General features: G+C 45.3%; 1 protein-coding gene across 3 annotated transcripts in view; it reads right to left on the minus strand.

Annotated features, from left to right (window-relative positions):
• ACOT9 (acyl-CoA thioesterase 9) overlaps positions 1,115–21,352 on the minus strand; it is a 42,222-nt gene continuing 21,984 nt past the window's right edge. For all 3 annotated transcript variants that reach the window (NM_001330259.2, NM_001033583.3, NM_001037171.2), the window contains 8 exons: positions 13,195–13,268; positions 7,937–8,004; positions 6,688–6,799; positions 5,828–5,918; positions 5,569–5,654; positions 5,053–5,140; positions 4,754–4,904; positions 1,115–4,042 (listed from right to left, as the gene is read on the minus strand). In NM_001330259.2, the coding sequence (NP_001317188.1) occupies positions 3,954–4,042; positions 4,754–4,904; positions 5,053–5,140; positions 5,569–5,654; positions 5,828–5,918; positions 6,688–6,799; positions 7,937–8,004; positions 13,195–13,268 (759 nt within the window). In that variant the 3' untranslated portion in view covers positions 1,115–3,953. The remainder of the gene's footprint in view (positions 4,043–4,753; positions 4,905–5,052; positions 5,141–5,568; positions 5,655–5,827; positions 5,919–6,687; positions 6,800–7,936; positions 8,005–13,194; positions 13,269–21,352) is intronic.

Below are 21,352 nucleotides of genomic sequence, written 5' to 3' on the forward strand. Positions count from 1 at the left end.
CCTTTCGTGGGCATTAATACTGTGGGCTCCGACGACTCCGATGGGCACTTTCCTTTCCTCTTTCGACTGTGAGCCCGGCCTCTAAGAATTACTTCAGCACGATTGGTCCCCGGGCCAAGCTTTCACTTCAGCTCCTGATAGGTCCCGGGCCAAGCTGAGTGGTCTCAATGAATCATCAATTCAGCTCCTGATTGGTCCCGGGCCAAGCTGAATCTAGCTTTCTCCAAGACAGCTCACAGACTAAGCAAATTCCTTCCCCTTCCCAGTCCGCAAAAACCCCCGACCCCAACCTCATAGTGGGCAACCCGTTCAGGCCCCCACTCTCCGCTGCGGAGAGCTTTTTTTTTTTTTTTTGAGACGGAATTTTGCTCTTGTTGCCCAGGCTGAAGTGCAACGGCGCGATCCTCAACTCACCGCAACGTCTGCCTCCCGGCTTCAAGCGATTCTCCTGCCTCAGCCTCCCAAGTAGCTGGGACTACAGGCGTGTGCCACCACGCCCAGTTAATTTTGTATTTTTAGTAAAGACAGGGTTTCTCCATGTTGGTCAGGCTGGTCTTGAACTCCGGACCTCGGCCTCCCAAAGTGCTGGGATTACAGGTGTGAGCCACCGAATCCAGCCGAGAGCTTTCTTGTTTTGCTTACTAAACTTTTGCTCCAACCTCACCCTTGTGTTCGTGCTCTGTGACACAAAGAACTCCGGATACTATCTCAGACAACCAAAGACTGCTACATTTTGGCGCACTGGTGAGACTACAACACCTTGCTAATTTTTGTATTTTTGTAGAAACAGGTTTTCACCGTGTTGCCCAGGCTGGTCTTGAACTCCTGACCTCAAGCAATCTGCCTTGGCCTCCCAAAGTGCTGGGATTACAGGTGTGAGCCACCACATCCAGCAGAAGGTCATTCTTCACCTATCAAAATGGCAAAGATATTTTAAAAAGAAAAGATAAAAATTGGCAAAGTTCAGGGAAATTGCTGATGTGTAAGTGATTGTGTGAAACTGTTCTGAAGGGTTACATGAAATACATATTCAAAGCCTTCAACGTGTGCCTACTATTTGACCTAAATATCTCATTTAATATTTTTCCAAAGAAAATAATTTAAGGGTCAAATGTTTTAGAGTATTTAGGATATTTACTGCAACATTGTTTATAATAGCAAAAAAGAAATACTAGAAAAAGCTTCACTGTACAGCAACAAATGGTTAAATATATAATGTATAATCTATACAATAGCATGCAGTAGGTCTCTTAACTCCACTTAACACATTCACAAAACTCCCCAGGGCGCATCCCTCCCCATTAGCCACCTCCCATCATGTCATAGGTAGATATGCAAAATGCTATATTGAAGGGCCAGGTAAATCTCAGTCAGGATGGCATTACGGCATGGAGAGACAAGTTATTATAGTACAGCACATGCTTGATTCCATGAGTCAAACTGCATGCTTCCAAGAGATAGTTGTGTTCGCTCCTGTGACTATTTCATGCCAGAGGTGCTTGTTGACACTGTGATTTCAATAAACATTACATAAACTAATATAAAAAAATTGCTTGAGACAGGGTCTTGCTGTCACCCAGACTGGAGTGCAGTGGCATGATCATAGCTCACTGCAGACTCAAACTCCTGGACTCAAGCAATCCACTCACCTCAGCCTCCTAACTGGGACTACAGGTGCACACCACCATGCTCAGATAATTTTTTAACTTTTTGTAGAGAAAGGGTCTCACTATGTTTCCCAGGCTGGTCTCAAGCGATCCTCCCATCTCAGTCTCCCAAAGTGCTGGGATTACAGGCATGAGCCACCACTGTGCCTGGCCTAAAAATTTTTTGTTAAAAATGCTTTCCACCGGCCGGGTGCAGTGGCTCATGCCTATAATCCCAGCACTTTGGGAGGCCAAGGTAGGTGGATCACCTGAGGTCAGGAATTTGAGACCAGCTGGCCAACATGGTGAAACCGCCTTTCTACTAAAAATACAAAAACTAGCCAGGCATGGGGGCTGACACCTGTAATCCTAGCTACTCAGGAGGCTGAGGCAGGAGAATCGCTTGAACCCGGGAGGTAGAGGTTGCAGTGAGCCAAGATCATGCCACTGCACTCCAGCTGGAGCGACAGAGTGAAACTCTGTCTCACACACACACACACACACAAAAATACTTTCCACCTAATTCTGAGGCAGAGCCAAGTTTGTGAACACTAATGTAGAACCCACAATAAATATTGCTTCCTTCTTGGGAGGACTTTTTTCAGAGATTATTTTTTCTTCTAAGTTACCTTCCTGTCAAAAAAGGAACGGTCTTGGCTACAGATTTTTTTTTTTTTTTTTTTTTGAGATGGAGTCTCGTTCTGTCACCCAGGCTGGAGTGCAGTGGCATGATCACAGCTCACTGCAACCTCTGCCTCCCAGGTTCAAGCAGTTCTCTGCCTCAGCCTCCCGAGTAGCTGGGATTACAGGCGTCCGCCACCACGCCCGGCTAATTTTTGTATTTTTAGTAGAAACGGGGTTTCACCATCTCGGCCAGGCTGGTCTTGAACTCCTGACCTCATGATCCATCCGCCTTGGCCTCCCAAAGTGCTGGGATTACAGGCATGAGCTACCGCGCCCGGCCTTGGCTGCAGATTAACGGGAATACCTCCCTTGGGCTTCCTAGGTGACACTGTGATATTCGGTATGACCTCCCTTGCTCTATTCCTTGGAAGAAGTACAGGCACTGGTCAAGAGTGCCCGGGACCCACATTGCCTGGTTTTGAATCCCAGCACCTCCACATGTTACGCGTCGGACCTCCAGGAAGTTACTTAAACTCTCTGTGCTTCAGTTTCCCGAGTGGCCTAACCCTAAGGGGGGTTACAGAACCTGCCTCATAGTGTTGATTGGAAGAAATAAAGGAGCTCAGACCTGCCAAGGGCTGAGGATGGTGCCTATCTAGCACATGGCAATGCTCCATAAGCATAAGCAGCTATTATTATTGTGGTTCCTATTTTTTAAATCAGATATATCCTGCGGAGCCACTAGCAGAATGTGCTAAATAGCTGTCTGGTGAATGAAAGAATGACCAAATGGTCCTGTATTTCCTTATCTAGATCATCTCTAAACACCTTCTAATGGTATGGTTTCAGACCTAAATCTTCCCACAAATCTTTACGGATGCAGTAACTTTTGTTAAATCCCTTCGCCCCAACTTTTCATCTACCCTCTGACAACAAAAGCTGGGAAATAGAGGGAAGCAAAGGAATCATGTACGGCTGATGGGATTTAGACAGCACAGAGCAAGTGGTTAGGTTTAAAGAACGTCATCCAAATACCCTGGCAGGAAACCTTGTATACTGACAGTTGCAATATGTGTAAGAAAAGAATGCATCCAATGGTATCCTCAATTAATTAATTAATTAATTAATTTTTGAGACAGTCTCTCTCTGTCGCCCAGGCTGGAGTGCAATGGTGCAATCTCAGCTCACTGCAACCTCCACCTCCTGGGTTCAAGCAATTCTCCTGCCTCAGCCTCCCAAGTAGCTGGGACTACAGGCACATGCCACCACGGCTAATTTTCTGTATTTTTAGTAGAGACAGGGTTTCACCATGTTGGCCAGGATGGTCTTGATCTCCTGACTTCATGATCCGCCCGCCTCAGCCTCCCAAAGTGCTGGGATTATAGGCATGAGCCACCACGCCCAGCCTCTCAATTTTTTTGTTTTTTCAGAAGATGGGAGGCAACATGGTAGGTTCACAATTAAAATTGTCTTGAAAGTATTTATTGTTTAATAATTCTTTCTCCCCTCAGCCCCATCCGGCCACTCTCTCTTTCTGCTTTTCTGATCATCCTAAAGGCTGAATACATCCTCCTCCTGTGTGGAGGACACGAAGCAATACTAAAATCAATACACTCGATCAGGTCTTCATCAGATACCACGTCACTGTGGGTAGAGTGCTAGTTTTCAACAAATGTGGTGTTCTTAGGGCTCCACAAGGTAGTCCTTTCTCAAGGTCGCTGGGCCACTCATGGAGTTGAAATGCCGCTGCCCATCTAAGTACAACATGGACTCTGAAACACAAGAAAGAGAACCTTGGAGAAACTTGTAATACCGTAGAAAACCATCATATCATCATACAAACACAAGACTACTTGGGAACACTGGGACAGAACAAGATACACTGTTGGGCCGGGGTGTGCCACATTCCCAAAGGAGCAGGCCATGACTCCTGTCCCCTTCCTTTGGCTGGATCAGTTTTTTTTTTTTTTTTTTTTTTGAGACGGAGTCTCGCTCTGTTGCCCAGACTGGAGTGCAGTGGCACAATCTCAGCTCACTGCAAGCTCCGCCTCCCAGGTTCACGCCATTCTCCTGCCTCAGCCTCCCGAGTAGCTGGGACTACAGGTGCCCGCCACCGTGCCCGGCTAATTTTTTTTTTTTTTTTTTTTTTCTAGTAGAGACGGGGTTTCACCGTGTTAGCCAGGATGGTCTCGATCTCCTGAACTCGTGATCTGCCCGTCTCGGCCTCCCAAAGTGCTGGGATTACAGGCATGAGCCACCACGCCCAGCCTGGCTGGATCAGTTTTTGACTACCAGTGGTTGCTTGCCCGCCTGGGGGCCACAGGCATCTTTGGCCTTCAGGGCTGCCAAATCTCAAAAGCAAAATCTCCTGAAGACATGCTCTTGTGCTGACAGGCATCAATACACTTCCTCCAATTCAAAAGGAGAAAAATGTCCTTAGAAGTTCTTCCCTTTGTTAGGGACAAGCAATAATCACTACTTACCTCCATATGTTTTTGGGAAAACCAATGGCACTTCTTTTTCCGACATGAACGTGAAATGAAAGACATTGGTGGTTGTATGCTGCTTCTCCTGCAGGGAGGCCACTTCACTGTGTACTCTGACTTGAATATAATTATTCTGAGTAAAGCATACCTAACAGATTATAGACACTATAATCAGTCAACTGCATTAGGAAGGGGAAAAAGGCAGTCATAAGAGAAAACAGTGGCTTTTTGATATAGAAACTTCTAGGCTCAAATGAAAAAAAAAAGTTGTATGTCATCTCTCATCACACACCTACCTGTGAAGAAAGAAAGAGCAATGAGCCAACCTCAACAGGTTTCTGAAACATGATGTCATCTACTGCTACCACAAACGGTCGAGAACCACTGTTGGGGGAAAGGACAGAATTTGGGGTATATTGCAAAATTCAGATGATCTCAATTGTTTCCTCTAACAACTAGCTGAAGCAAAATAAAAATGAACGAAGAATAAAGTTAGAGAAGGGGGAAAAGATCCTACCAGTGAGAAATGGTAAGAGACGCCATCGTGAGCAGATTAGGGCCAAAATAACTATATCTTTTCCTTTCTACATATCATCACTGTATTTTCTCAGTAGTTTTTTTAATGTATGAACTTACAAAGTCAGAGAAACAACCTTCTAAAATGAAGATCAAATTCAGCTGGTATCAGTGTGGTATTCATTCAAAAACATAACATATTCCCACACACACCCAGACTGGTCCGAAATGTTTCATTTCAGTGGGGTGATATAAATTGCTTCTCAGAAGTTAAGGCTGCCTTACATGTAACTCACCCAAAGCTACAAGCAGTAGCCCACGCAAGTTCATATGCCTTCCTCATAAGGAAACCACCAAAGATCCGATTGAAAATGTTCCGCTCCTACAGGACATAAATAAATATCAATAAATACAAAACTTATGGCCACCTTTGTATACAGAACAGAGGAATTAACAATGCCACAGGACAAAGGCCAGTTTAAAGGTGTGTCAAATCTTGGACAAATATCATGAACGGAAGCTATCCTATTCGGATTTCTCACTAAATTATAATACCTGAGGGTGGCAAATTTCCAAACTCTTCAGTTTTGAATTCTCCATCCACACTGCATTAGAGGGTAAAACTCGACTCCGAAAACTTATAGTCCTGTACAAATGAATATTTATTAAACCCTGTTAATGCCATGGTTCTCTTGTTGAAAAGTAAAAACATTTGCAAGTCACTCCCAATACACTCAGACAACTGTGGCTCTGGAGAAGGCCAAGGTTTAGGCCAGGCGCGGTGGCTCACGCCTGTAATCCCAACACTTTGGGAGGCCGAGGCAGGCAGATCACATGAGGTCAGGAGCTTGAGACCAGCCTGGCCAACGTGGTGAAACCCCGTCTCTACTAAAAATACAAAATAATTAGCAGGCGTGGTGGCGGGCGCCTGTAATCCCAGCTACTTGGGAGGCTGAGACAGGAGAATTGCTTGAACCCGGGAGGCAGAGGTTGTAGTGAGCCAAGATCACGCCACTGCATTCCAGCCTGGGCAACAGGGTAAGACTCCATCTCAAAAACAAAAAAGGTCGGGTGTGGTGGCTCACGCCTGTAATCCCAGCACTTTGGGAGGTGGAGACAGGCAGATCACCTGAGGTCAGGAGTTCAAGACAAGCCTGACCAACATGGAGAAACCCCGTCTCTACTAAAAATACAAAATTAACCAGGCGTGGAGGTGCATGCCTATAATCCCAGCTACTCGGAGGCTGAGGCAGGAGAATCACTTGAACCCGGGAGGCAGAGGTTGCAGTGAGCCAAGATCGTGCCATTGCACTCCAGCCTGGGTAACAAGAGCGAAACTCCGTCTCAAAAAAAAAAAAAAAAAAAAAAGGCCAAGGTTTAAATGTTTTCCCAACGTGGAATCTCACCATCCTTACTTTGGATCCAGTGTGCTGAGAAACATCTCATGTATGGTGGTCCTCTCCTCAGCGCTGGGGGCCATTTTCAGTAACGACGTGGAGCTGAAGGCAATTCTTCTCCCCTTGTTCACTGGAACAAGGGAGAATAAGGAGCAATGATCAGGACGGTCGCACTACAGCACACGGTATTCTGACCTGGGATGCCTTTCAAAATCTCACTGAAAATTATACACGTATCCAAGAGAAAACTGCAGAGGCCACATAAAACTCCCAGTGAGTCTTTGGTTCCACATGGAAATTATATTGGTTCAGTGTGAGATCACTTGATATCATCCTGATCCAGAGCCCTGACCTGCAGTTATCCCATTGAGATGCATTTCTCACTTCATTAAAACGGAGAAAACAGGCCAGGTGCAGTGGCTCATGCCTGTAATCCCAACACTTTGGGAGGCGGAGGCAGGAGGATTGCTTGAGTCCAGGAGTTCAAGACCAGCCTGGGCAACATAGTGAGACCCCTGTCTCTACAAAGAAAAATTTTAATTAGCCAGGCATGGTGGCACGTGCCTATAGTCCTAGCTACTCAGGAGGCTGAGGTGGGTGGATAGCTTGGGCCCAGGAGATCGAGACTACAATATTGTTCATTGTAGCCTCAAACTCCTGGACCCAAGCCCAACTCCAGCCTGGGCAACAGAGCAAGAACTGTCTAAAAAAAAAAAACGGAGATAACAAATTACTTCACTTAATAAATATTGTCTGATCAATAAAATCATTCAAAGTATGGACTCCAAAGAAAAAAGAATAGCATATTTTTAATTTCAATAAATTATTGGTATGAATAAGACATTTGGGCCAGGCACAATGGCTCACGCCTGTAATCCCAGCACTTTGGGAGGCCAAGGCAGGCGGATCACGAGTTCAGGAGATCGAGACCATCCTGGCCAAAATGGTGAAACCCCATCTCTACTAAAAGTACAAAAATTAGCTGGGTGTGGTGGCGCGCACCTGTAGTCCCAGCTACTCAGGAGGCTGGGGCAGAAGAATCACTTGAACCCAGGAGGCAGAGGTTGCAGTGAGCCGAGATGGCACCACTGCACTCCAGCCTGGCAAGAGACAGAGAGACTCCATTTCAAAAAAAACAAACAAAAAAACAAACAAAAAAAAGACATTTGACTGGTATGAAGAGCCCATATAAAATCTTAAATAATCTCTTCTGCAGCGTAATTAATGTGCTTTTCAAATTTATTTTATTATAAACAAATTAATGTACATTCCCCTTGTCTAAAGAGCTCCTCTTCCTCTGGGCTTTCAGGGATGAGTGGATTTACAAATGCCGGCCTAAAAAGAAGAAAAAAAAGAATATAATTTAAGATATGCCATTATCTAATAAAACTTGAAGATGAACAATCACCTACTACTTTTAAAGAATCTGCTTTTCATTTTGGGTAGTGCTTACTGCTTGCCTTACATGTGAACGCTGGAACAATTAGGGAAGCCTTACAGTTACAGCCTTAATTGCACACTAGAAACTTAACATTATAAAAAGGATACTGGCATCTGCTAAATGTTTAACCTGATTCTAATCATGAGGAAACAGTCAAATATAGGTTGTAGAACACTCTACAAGAAAACTGGCTTTAGGCCGGGCGTGGTGGCTCACGCCTGTAATCCCAGCACTTTGAGAGGCCAAGCCGGGTGGGGATCACCTGAAGTTGGGAGTTTGAGACCAGCCTGACCAACAAGGAGAAACCTCGTTTCTACTAAAAATACAAAATTAGCCGGGCGTGGTGGCACATGCCTGTAATCCCAGCTACTCGGGAGGCTGAGGCAGGAGAATTGCTTGAACCCAGGAGGTGGAGGTTGCGGTGAGCCGAGATCGTGCCAGTGCACTCCAGCCTGGGCAACAAGAGCGAAACTCTGTCTCAAAAAAAGAAAAAAAAAAAAAAAAGAAAAAGAAAACTGGCTTGAACTCTTTAAAAATATCAATTTTTGAAAGACAGCAAATGGCAGAGAGACTATTCTAAAGAAACAGGATAACCAAATGCAATATACAATCCTTGATGGATTGGGTCCTGAATCAGGAAGATAGCTATAAAGGACATTTTAGGGACAACTGGTGAAATCTGAATACGGATCACATATTAAATAACTGTATCACTGTTGAATTTCTCAGATATAATAAAGGCATTGAGGTTATGGAGAAATACCTGGTTCTTAGGAAATACATGCTGAACTCCTGAATGGGTGAAGCAGTCTCAAACTTACTTTCCAATGATTCATGGGAAAAAATATGTAAATGTGTGTATTTGTAGAGAGAGGGTAAGAGAATTACGCAAATGTAATACAATTTACGTGAAAGGCATACGTTTGTTGCATTATTCTATCTACTTTTCTGTAAGCATCAAATTTTTTGAAATAAAAAATAAGGGAAAAGGGATAATATTTCACTGTGGTAGAATCAAAAGATTTGATGAAACAACAATGGAAACAAAAGAATTAAAACAGGCCGGGGGCAGTGGTTCACGCTCGTAATCCCAGCACTTCGGGAGGCCAAGGCAGGTGGATCACCTAAGGTCAGGAGTTCGAGACCAGCCTGGTCAACATGGTGAAACCCCGTCTCTACTAAAAATACAAAAGTCAGCCGGGTGTGGTGGTAGGTGCCTGTAATCCCAGCTACTCAGGAGGCTGAGGCAGGAGAATCACTTGAACCCAGGAGGTAGAGGTTGCAGTGAGCCGAGATAGCACCACTGCACTCCAGCCTGGGTGACAAGAGCCAACCTCTGTCTTGAAAACAAAAAACAAAAGAATTGAAACAACAGCTTGGGAAAGTGACATGCATCAGCTGGGAGTGAAACTTGCAGCAGTGGCCTCAGTGCTTGAATACAAGCCCCAGGCCAGTCACTGGCCACAGCAGGTCAGCTGGGGCTGGCAGGAAGGGCCAGAGTAGATGGGTGTTATTCTTCCCTCAGATCACTAAGGGACCAACATATTTTTCTATCTTAATTTGGCTTTCCAAGTCAGCTTTCCACGCAGCAGCAAAGATTTTTCACTGCAGACTCCTAAATCAAGTTTCTAATACAAATGAGATTTCCCACAGGCCACTGGACTCTGTCCTGTGCAAAGAGCAATCCCTCCCACCCCAGCTCTACCCCCACAATTAGTTTTTCTCAGTTTGGGTGTAACTGTTGTTAGAAACCAAGAATTCAATTTCAGAGAAAAAAGATGACGTAAAGTAAGTTGAAGTCTATATGGTTAAATGACTTGAAAATGACCATATAAACTCATGAGGCTCTTTTTTTGAGGTAGGGTCTTGCCCTGTCGCCCAGGCTGGCGTGCAGTGGTGCGACCTTGGCTCACTGCAACCTCTGCTTCCCGGGTTAAAGCAATCCTCCCACCTCAGCCTCCCACATCGTCTGGGACTACAGACACATGCTACCATACCTGGCTAATTTTTTTGTACTTTTAGTAGAGATGGGGATTCGCCATGTTGGCCAGGCTGGTCTCAAACTCCTGGGCTCAAGTGATCTGCCCACCTCGGCCTCCCAAAGTGCTGGGATTACAGGCGTGAGCCACCACACCCAGCTCTCATGAGGTTTTTTGTTTGTTTAAAATATATCCTAGCTCTGTCCACTAAAAAGGCCTGGAAACAATAACAAACTAGTAACAATGTACAGTTCTAGTGCCCAGATTTTGATGTCTAAATACCAGTTCCCACTAAAAGGAACCCCAGGACTACTTGGAGAAATGGCTGACTCCAGGCCTGGGGCAGGAAATACGTAAGATGAGCCCAAGACATCTTGTGTCAGACAGCAGGAAGCTATCAAACAGACAGGTGGAAAGGAGCCAGCTTAGAGGAACTCCCACCGCCCAAAGAAGGCACACTTGGAGCATCAAGAGAAACAATGGCTGCAATTTATTGAAATACATGTAATATATTACAACCATGAATTCATAATGATGCTTTTCTGGCAGGACAGTGGCTCACACCTGTAATCCTAGCACTTTGGGAGGCCGAGGTGAGAGGATCACTTGAGCCCAGGATTTTGAGATCAGTTTGGCCAACATGGCAAAACCCCATCTCTACAAAAAATTTAAAAATTAGCTGGGCAGCTACTCAGGAGGCTGAGGCCAGAGAATCACTTGAACCAGGAGGTGGAGGTTGCAGTGAGCCGAGATTGCGCCACTGCACCCCAGCCGGGGCAACAAGAGTAAAACTCCATCTCAAAAAGAAAGAAAGAAAAAAAATTAGCTCGGCATGGTGGTATGTGCCTGTGGTCCCAGCTACTCAGGAGGCTGAGGCGGAAGGATTGCTTGAGCACAGGAGGCCCAGGCTGCAGTGAGCCATGCTCATGACACATGACAATGCACTCCAACCTGGAGAGAAGAGCAAAACTTCATCTCAAAAAAAATAAAAAAACAAAAAAAAAACGGGCTGGGCGAAATGACTCACGCCTGTTATCTCAGCACTTTGGAATCCCTAGGTGGGCAGATCACTTGAGGTCAGGAGATCGAGGCCAGCCTGGCCAACATGGTGAAACCCCGTCTCTACTATAAATACAAAACAAATTAGCCAAGCATAATGGGGCATGCCTGTAGTCCCAGCTACTTGGGAGGCAGAGGCAGGAGAATCTCTTCAACCCAGGAGACAGAGGCTGCAGTGAGCCGAGATTGCGCCACTGCAGTCCAGTGTGGGTGACTGAGCGAGACTCCATCTCAAAAACACACACACACAGAAAAAAAAAAAGAAATTTAAAAACATGATACTTTTCTAAAAAGCTAAAAAACTGGGAAAAGCATGTCATCACTAGCTAGTGAACCAACTCCTTATTCTGAAAACATGTAAATAAAAGACAAGAATGAAGCATTGATCCTAACTCCATTTCAAACCCAATCGCCCTAGTTGTTAAGGGAACGCTCTTCTTTACAGAATTCCAGCTAACAAACATAGAAGGAATGACAAAATTTGAGAATTACTCTAAACTGCCTAATGATACTAATTAAAGCAATGATCAGCAGTGGACATTGAAAGCACTGGAAAAAGACTGATGGGAAACTCAGCTATTTGCAGGATGACAAAGTACACCCCTGTAGATTGTTGCTGATCAGAAGAGGAAAAACTGAACTTCACAAAGGAGAGATTAGGCTGTAACTGCTTGAACCCACACACTAATCTTAGCATCACTGTGAGTGGGACAACCTGTACCTCCTGATACGATGCAATATGAAATACGAGATATACAACATCATCTATGTAGTACTCTCACCAAATATGCTCAACCTAAATCTAATACAAGGCTTTAGATCTAACTTCAGTTTAGAGAAATTACTAGGGATAGAGAAACAAGATCAAAAAACAAACAAACAAACCACCATGAGAAAGCAATAGAACAAATCCAGAAAGTGGGACACTATTTAGAACAAATGATCCAGCCTCTCAACGAGTGAATAAGAAACAATAGGGGAAGACACAACTGTTCTGGATTAAAACAGATTTAAGAGATTGCACAACTCAGCTGGGCATGGTGGCTCACGCCTGTAATCTCAACACTTTGGGAGGCTGAGGTGGGTGGATCACTTGAGGTCAGGAGTTCGAGACCAGCCTGGGCAACATAGTGAAACACCCCCCCATCTCTACTAAAAATACAAAAATTAGCCAGGCATGGTGGCACATGCCTGTAATCCCAGTTACTCAGGAGGCTGAGGCAGGAGAATCGCTCAAACCCAGGAGGCGGAGGTTGCAGTGAACCGAGATCCCACCATTGCACTCCAGCCTGGGCAACAAGAGCAAAACTCCATCTTAAAAAAAAAAAAAAAAAAAGGATAATATTCTCTTAAGTAACTACATTACTATTGTCATGCCTAACAAAAAATTACATTTGATTTTTATGTCTGTAAGTCTGTTTTTTTTTGATAACAGCTTTATTAAGGTATAATTCGCATACCACACAATTCACCCATTGAAAGTGTACAATTTAACGGCTTTTAGTGTATTCACAGAATTGTGCAACATCTCTTTTTGTTGTTGTTGTTTTGAGATGGAGTCTCGCTCTGTCGCCCAGGCTGGAGTGCAATGGCGCAATCTCGGCACACTGCAACTTCCACCTCCCAGAGTCAAGTAATTCTCGTGCCTCAGCCTCCCCAGTAGCTGGGACCATAGGCGCGTGCCACCACGCCCAGCTAATTTTTGTGTTTTTAGTAGAGATGGGGTTTCACCATGCCGGCCAGGCTGGTCTTCAACTCCTGACCTTAAGTGATCCACCAGCCTTGGCCTCCCAAAGTGCTGGGATTACAGGCGTGAGCCACCTCTCCCGGCCTGAGAATATTCTCATTTTTTAAAAGATGCCCGAAGTATTTAAGAGTGAAATGTCATGTCTGGGATTTGCCTTAAAATAAAAATGGCCAAGAAATTGCAATTAAAACTGTTACGTCCAAGTGATAGGTATATGGACATTCATTATAGTTTTCTCTCCAGTCTTATGTATCTTTGAAATTCTTCAAAATAAAGAATTATGAAAAAATAGCAATTACCCTTTATTTTCAGAATCACGAGCCACCATTACAAATGTTGCATCCAAAACAGGACAAAATTCATCACCATGTAACTGAAGAACAAAGGAAAGAAAATGTACATATGAGAAATGGATTTATCGGGAAGACCTACCACGATTCTAACAGACGGTATGTATGCTGGCCAGGTGCAGTCGCTCACGCCTATAATCCCAGCACTTTGAGAGGCCAAGGTGGGAGGATCACTTGAGGCCAGGAGTTTGAGACCAGCCTGGCCAATATGGCAAAACCCTGTCTCTACTAAATAATACAAAAATTAGCAGGGTGTGGTGGCGCATGCCTCTAACCTCAGCTACTCAGTAGACTGAGGCATGAGAATTGCTTGAACCCAGGAGGCCAAGGTTGCAGTGAGCCGAGATTGCAGGCCCCTGTCTAAAAAAAAAAAAAGAAAAAAAAAAAAGAGAGAGAGAGAGAGAGAAAGCCTGCAACTGGAAAAAGAAGAGAAGCACTCTCATTAACCACCGTCTGCTAAGGGCCTACCCTGAGCCAGGCACAGCACTAGGCTCTCAGAATGGCAGGATGACAAAGGAGCCCGTGGCCTAGCAGAGGAGAAAAATACCTCAAAGTCCAATCGGGGGCTGGGCATGGTACCTCATGCCTATAATCCCAGCATTTTGAGAGGCCTAGATGAGAGGATTGCCTGAGACCAGGAAAGCGAGATCAGCCTAGGCAACATAGCGAGACCTGGTCTCTAACTACAAATAAAAATTAAAAAATTAGCCAGGCATGGTGGTGCATGCCTGTAGTACCAGCTAGTGGGAAGCTGAGGCAGGAGGATCCCTTGAGCCCAGGAGTTCAAGGATGCACTGAGCTATGATCACGACCCTGCACTGTAGCCTGGATGACAGAAAACATCCCATCTCCAAAACAAAACAAACAAAACGCAAATAGTATACTGCATGAGATGGGCTGCTGGCATGGAGTTTGGAACTGTGCAAGACTGGGACCCAAAGGCAAGGGTCACAGAGAGTATCATCAGCGTTTAATTTGCCTGCTTTCCTCAGAATCTGAGCTTCTTGCAGGGCGTGCCTGTCCTCCTGATGGCACACCTACCCAGACGGACCTCCCATCATGCTCACAAACACTAGTATGTTTCAGGGAACTGTAGTGTGCCAACCACTAGCACAGTTTATGCCTTCATAGCTGGGCACAGGAGCTCCCAAGAAGAGGTAAAATCAAAGATGATTATGTGGGTTAAGTTAAATACAGGTTGAGCATCTCTAATCCAAAAATAAAAAATACTCCAAAATCCAAAACTTTTCAAGCACTGACATGACACTCAAGGAAATGCTCATTGGAGCATTTCAAGATTTTGAACTCTGGGATTAGGAATGCTCAACCAGTAAATATAAATATTCTGAAATCAGAAACACTTCTGGTCCCAGGCATTTCAGGTAAGGAATACTCAACCTGTATTTACAATGCATAGGCCTCTGAGGTTTTAAGATGTTTCTTTTTTTCTCTCCCCAGGAAGAGGGTCTCACTCTATCACCCAGGTTGGAGTACAGTGGCATGATCATGTCTCACTGCAGTCTCGACCTCATGGGCTCAAGCAATCCTCCCACCTCAGCCTCCTGACTAGCTGACACCATAGGCATGCACCACCACACCCAGCTAATTTTTGTAGAGATGGGGTTTTCCATGTTACCCAGGCTGGTCTTGACCTCCTGAGCTCAAGGAATCTACCAGCCTCAGCCTCCCAAAATGCTGGGATTACAGGCATGAGCCACCATGCCTGGGCCTTAAGATGTTTCTTTATCCCCTAGAAGTCTGTACTTCCAGGAAAGTCATACCATAAAGTAATGACAGAAGTTATTTATAACCTGAGAGTATATTGGGTTCCCTCCTCAATAAATGATACAAGCCTCATCACTACTGCCCTCCCCCTCAATTGCAGGAACAGTCTCACCAATCTCATTATGCCTCTGCCCTATTCAAACCTTTCAATAGTTCCTCCTTTCTTCCACCAGCACCTGGGCTAATCCTGTTAGCGTGGCATATAAAGCCCTCCACAACAGAGCCCACGATTGCTCCCCAGTTGTTCACCAAATACTGTGCTCATACCTGCACCTTTTTCTCTAGCCATAGCTAACTAACAACTGAGAGGTCCTGGGATAGAACAGGCTGTTGACTGCCTCCTGTCTATATCTTTACCTGATGCCTTCCTCAGCAGCCTCATTCTTCACGACATTCCTCCCCTCCCCCATCCCTATTCCCCAGACCAAGTTTATCTTTGCCTCCTTCATTCAGCCCCCTTAATAGAAACAGTCCTCTCTTGACAGTGGTTCTCAATGTAAGAGAAGTAGATGTCACTCTAATAGGCGGGCATTTGAAAAATACAGAGTGGTTTTTGTTGTCACATAACTTGGGGGGCATTACTATGGAGGGGGGTAACCAAGGAGCTAAATCCCTCACAATGCAGGGGATAGACCTGCAGAACAATGAATGCTCCCACCAGAAATGCCAACAGTGTCCCTGTTGAAAAATACTGCATAACGATATACTATATCATAACCATTTGTTTATGTGACTGTCTCCCTACTGCACCGTGAGCTCCTGTAGGACAAAGACCATTTTCCCCCAGTTATATCCCTAGTATTTAGCACAAAGACCAGCAAATAGCAGATACCTGATCAATATTTGCCAATGAATGAAGGAGGCAGGTTCTAGGCACTACTAGAATGTCAACTCCAAGAGAATGGAACTTTATCTGTTTTGCTCACTGCTGTATGCCTGGCACAGGACAGGCACTCAATAAATGATTGCTAAATGAATGTTAAATGAATGGATGTCAGGAAGTGAGCTAGGTGACTCAAACCCAGGTCCTATCGTTGAGGAGTAGAGTCCGCAGTGGAAGAGAAAAGACATATTCATGCACAGCTCTGTAGGAGACTAGCAGGTGCCAGGAGAGCAAGTCAAAGAGACGGTATTGAGGGAGGAGGCCTGAGGAACAGGTGTTACATGCTGGGAGAATAAGGAAAGGATTGAGCATGAAGTTATCCTGGAGCACAGGGAGAAAGAATGTGGATACAGAGCCAGAGCACGAGAATTTCAGGCAAAAGAAAAAGCATCAGCAATTATACTCATTCACTCACTCCCAGTTGAATATCCCTTATCCAAAATGCTTGGGACCAGAAGTGTTCTGTATTCCAGACTATTTTGGATTTTCGATTTTTGGATTTGGAATGTTTGCATTCAATACTTACAGGTTGAACATTCCAAACCCAATGAGCATTTCCTTTGGGCATCATGTCAGTGCTCAAAGTCAGATTTTGGAGCATTTCAGATTTCAGAGTTGCAATGCTCAACCTATGTAAGTTATGGTTTACTATCATGAATACCCACTAGTGCCAAGCACTAGAACGCAAACATGAATAACTCCCTATTCTTACGATGCTTGAAGGCCAGTGGTGAGCATTAAGAAGGTATATAAATGACAAGTCAAAGGGAATATAGTTGGAAAGGTAGGCTGGGGCTAGTTTATGAAGCCCCTTGGGCCCTAATTAATCAAAGGAGTTTTGTTTTTTGTTTGAGATGGGGTCTCACTCTGTCACCCAGGTTGGAGTACAGTGGCGCAATCTCGGCTCACTGTAACCTCCACCCCCCTGCCTCAAGCGATCCTCCCACCTCAGCCTCCCGAGTGGCTGGGATCACAGGCGCACGCCACCACACCAGCTAATTTTTTGTACTTTTTTTTTTGAGACCGAGTCTCACTCTGTCGCCGAGGCTGGGGTGCAGTGGCGCTATCTCGGCTCACTGAAAACTCCATCTCCCAGGTTCAAGCGATTCTTCTGCCTCAGCCTCCGCAGTAGCTGGGACTACGGGCACGTGGCACCACCCCCAGCTAATTTTTGTATTTTTAGTAGAGATGGGATATTTCACCATATTGGCCAGGCTGGTCTCAAACTCCTGAACTCATGATTCGCCTGCCTCGGCCTCCCAAAGTGTTGGGATTACAGACATGGCCACCACGCCCAGCCAGTTTTTTGTACTTTTTGTAGAGACGGGGTTTCACCATGTTGCTCAGGCTGGTCTTGAACTCCTGAGCTCAGGAGATCCACCTGCCTCGGCCTCCCAAAGTCCTGAGATTGGAGCCGTGAGCCACTGCACCTGGGCTAGTCAAAGGAGTTTAGACTTTAATCCAGAGATAATGAATGGTCACTGAAGGTTTCTGAGAAGGGAAGTGACCTGATTCAAGATCAGCTTTGGAAGACTTATGTGGTAAAAATGCATAAAATTAAAAGAGAGAGGTCCGGCTAGAGAAAGTCAGGTTAATTAAAAGACGGTTAAGGCACTCACACAAGAGGCAGTGAGGACTTGAATAAAACACAGGGCCAAAAGGATATGGGGAGAAAGAATTCTGGTGAGTTGCTGTGGGTGATGAATTTGCAAGACCTGGCAAAAGGCTGCATGGGAAAGGAAGCAGGAGGCTGGCAAAGGGAAGACTGGAGGAGGATGAGAATTGGGGCCAATCAGTTTGGAACATACTGTTTATTGGAACTTGAGGTAGCAACAGCACGTCTAGGTGGAGAAATATAAGGAGCACTCAGGAAAGTGGGTATGAAGGTCAAGCCCAAAATAGAAATTTGAGGCCACCTCAACAGTATTTATAATAAATTAATATTATTGCCAGGCTGGGGGCGGCGGCCCACGCCTATAATTCCAGCACTTTGGGAGGCCGAGGCAGGCGGATCACTTGAGGTCAGGAGTTCGAGACCAGCCTGGCCAAGATGGTGAAACCCGGTCTGTATAAAAAATACAAAAACTAGCCACGCATGGTGGTGTGCACTTGTAATCTCAGCTACTAGGGAGGCTGAGACAGGAGAATTGCTTGAACCCAGGAGGCAGAGGCTGCAGTGAGCCGAGATCATGCCACTGCACTCCAGCCTGGGTGACAGAACAAGACCCTGTCTCAAAAAAAAAAAAAAATTTCCAACAGTGGTTACTGTGTGATAGGCACTGTACCAAAGTACTTCACATGAATGGGTTTTTTTCAAATTTCCCTTACCACAACCATATAACATGGTACTCTGTTACTATTTTCATGTTACATTTGAGAACACAGAGGCTCAGACAAGTGGTTTATCCACAGCCACATGACTAGGAAGCAGCAGTGCTGGGATTAGAACCTAAATCTATGCAAACCAGAGGCAGAGTGCTTATCCCCACACCACTTCTCTGGAATAAAAAGGATCACTCGAGTCATGAGTTATTAGTCAAATAGCCAGTGAAGAATGCAAATTTAAAACAAAAGTGTTTACTTGTCTGACACTGAGTTCCACTGGTTCTCTCTCAATAATTCCTGTATCTCTTTTTCAACCTATTTGTCCAAGAGGCAAATTGTCAAGATGCCCTAAAAGGCAGGTCCTGTGCCAGGAATCTGCTGTGCATGGCACTGAGCAGACTAGGAATTAACCAAGAATATTTTTTAAAAGACTGTAGGCAGAACAGGCCGGGCACGGTGGCTCACGCCTGTAATCCCAGCACTTTGGGAGGCCGAGGCAGGCGGATCATGAGGTCAGGAGATCGAGATCATCCTGGCTAACACGGTGAAACCCCGTCTGCACTAAAAATACAAAAAAATTAGCCGGGCATGGTGGTAGGCACCTGTAGTCCCAGCTACTTGGGAGGCTGAGGCAGGAGAATGGCATGAACCCAGGAGACGGAGCTTGCAGTGAGCCGAGATCGCACCACTGCACTCCAGCCTGGGTGACAGAGCAAGACTCCGTCTCAAAAAAAAAAAAAAAAAAAAAAAGACTGTAGGCAGATCATAGCAGCAACCCAGCAATGTTTTGTTTTTAAAACAGTATTACTGGCTGGGCACGGTGGCTCACGCCTGAAATCCCAGCACTTTGGGAGGCGAGGGCGGGTGGATGGCTTGAGTCCAAGAGTTCAAGACCAGCCTGGGCAACATGGTAAAACCCCGTCTCTACTAAAAATACAAAAATTAGCCAGGCATGGTGACACACATCTGTAGTCCCAGCTACTTGGGAGGCTGAGGCATGAGAATCACTGGAACCCGAGGGGCAGAGGTAGCAGAAAGCTGAGATCGCGCCACTACACTCCAGCCTGGGAGACAGAGTGACACTGTCTCAAACAAACAAAATAAAACAGTATTACTGTCAGTTACATCAAACATGGGAATTGAAAGATTCAATCACTTGCATATAGTACTGAATAAAAAAAATACTTATTTTGACAAATAACTACTACAGAGCTAGCTTCAGGCTTTTTCTGAAAGTGTGAAAGTTTATTTCACCAAAAGGTGAAATGCTTCATCATTCCATAGCAGGAAAAAATGCATCTGAATAATAGGTCTACTGCAGTGGCCCCCAACCTTTTTTGCACCAGGGACCAGTTTTGTGGTATACAATTTTTCCACGGAATGGGGTGGGCTGGGGGGGATGGTTTTGGGATGAAACTGCTCCGCCTCAGATCATCGGGCACTAGATTCTCCTAAGGAGTGTGCAACCTAGATCCCTCACATGCGCAGCTCACGATAGGGTTCGTGCTCCTATGAGAATCTAATGCCGCTGCTGATCTGACAGGAGGCGGAGCTCAGGTGGTAATTCTCTCTTGCCCACAGCTCACCTCCTGCTATGTAGCCCATGGCCCGGGGGTTGGGGACCCCTGGTCTACTCAATACCCTGGCATAAATGAATAAGTCATTTTTTTTTTTTTGAGACGGAGTCTCGCTCTGTCGCCCAGGCTGGAGAGCAGTGGTGTGATCTCGGCTCACTGCAAGCTCCGCCTCCTGGGTTCACGCCATTCTCCTGCCTCAGCCTCCCATAGCTGGGATTACAGGCACCCGCCACCACGCCCGGCTAATTTTTTTATTTTTAGTAGAGACAGGGTTTCACCGTGTTAGCCAGGATGGTCTCGATCTCCTGACCTGGTGATCTGCCCGCCTTGGCCTCCCAAAGTGCTGGGATTACAGGCGTGAGCCACCGCGCCCAGCCAGTCATTCTTAAATAAGTTTTCCACAATGAAATCTTGGACATACACTGAATCATTTTATTTCTGTGTTGTTATCCTCTTTGAGGTACTTTTTCTTGTCAAATTTCTTCAATTGTTTGTAATAGCTATTCTGAGTTTTACTCATCAGATTAGCTGTTCCTAACTACTGTAATAGCTCAAATGACTGTTAAGGGCCCAACTGTGTCCCCCAAAAAGACATGTGGAAATCCTAACCCCCATAACTGTGAACGTGACTGTATTTGGAAATAGAGTCGTTGCAGACATAATTAGTTAAGATGAGGTCATGCCGGAGTAGCGTGGGCCCTTAATCCAGTATGATTAGCAGCATCCTGACAAGAGACACCAGAGAGACAGAGACACATGAGAGAACACCATGTGATGACGGAGGCAGAGACTGAATGAAGTGCTACAGCTGGAAGCCAAGGAACGCTAGGGATTGCCAGCAAACCACCAGAAGCAAGAAACAGACAAGGAAGGCTTCTCTCTTACAGGTTTTAGAGGGAACATGCCTCTGCTGACACCTTGATTTTGGATTCGTAGCCTCCAAACTGTGAGTCAATACATTTTCTGTTTTTATGCCACCAGTTTATGGTACTTTGTGGTACCGCTGCCCCTTGGAATCCACGCAGGATTGGTTCCAGAACTCCCTACCACCACCCGCCAATACCAAAATCCACAGATGCTCAACTCCCCTATATAAAATGGGGTCATATTTACATAAAACCTATGCACCTCCTCCTGTGTACTTTAAATTATCTCTGGATTACTTATAATACCTAATACAATATAAATGCCATATAAATAGTTGTTTTAAGGCCAGCCATGCCTGTAATCCCAGCATTTGGGGAGGCTAAGGTGGGAGGACCACATGAGGCCAGAAGTTCAAGACCAGCCTGGGCAACATGGTGAAACTCCATATCCATTTCTCTATTTTTATTTATTTATTTATTTATTTTTTGAGACGAGTCTCACTCTGTTGCCCAGGCTGGAGTGCAGTGGCGCAATCTCAGCTCACTGCAACCTCCACCTCCTGGGTTCAAGCGGTTCCCAACCCTCAGCCTCCTAAGTAGCTGAGATTACAGGCGTGCACCACCAAGCCTGGCTAATTTTTGTATTTTTTAAATAGAGACAGGGTTTCACC

The sequence above is a fragment of the Homo sapiens genome, chromosome X, assembly GCF_000001405.40.
Source record: "Homo sapiens chromosome X, GRCh38.p14 Primary Assembly".
In the NCBI taxonomy this organism is placed as follows: domain Eukaryota; kingdom Metazoa; phylum Chordata; class Mammalia; order Primates; family Hominidae; genus Homo; species Homo sapiens.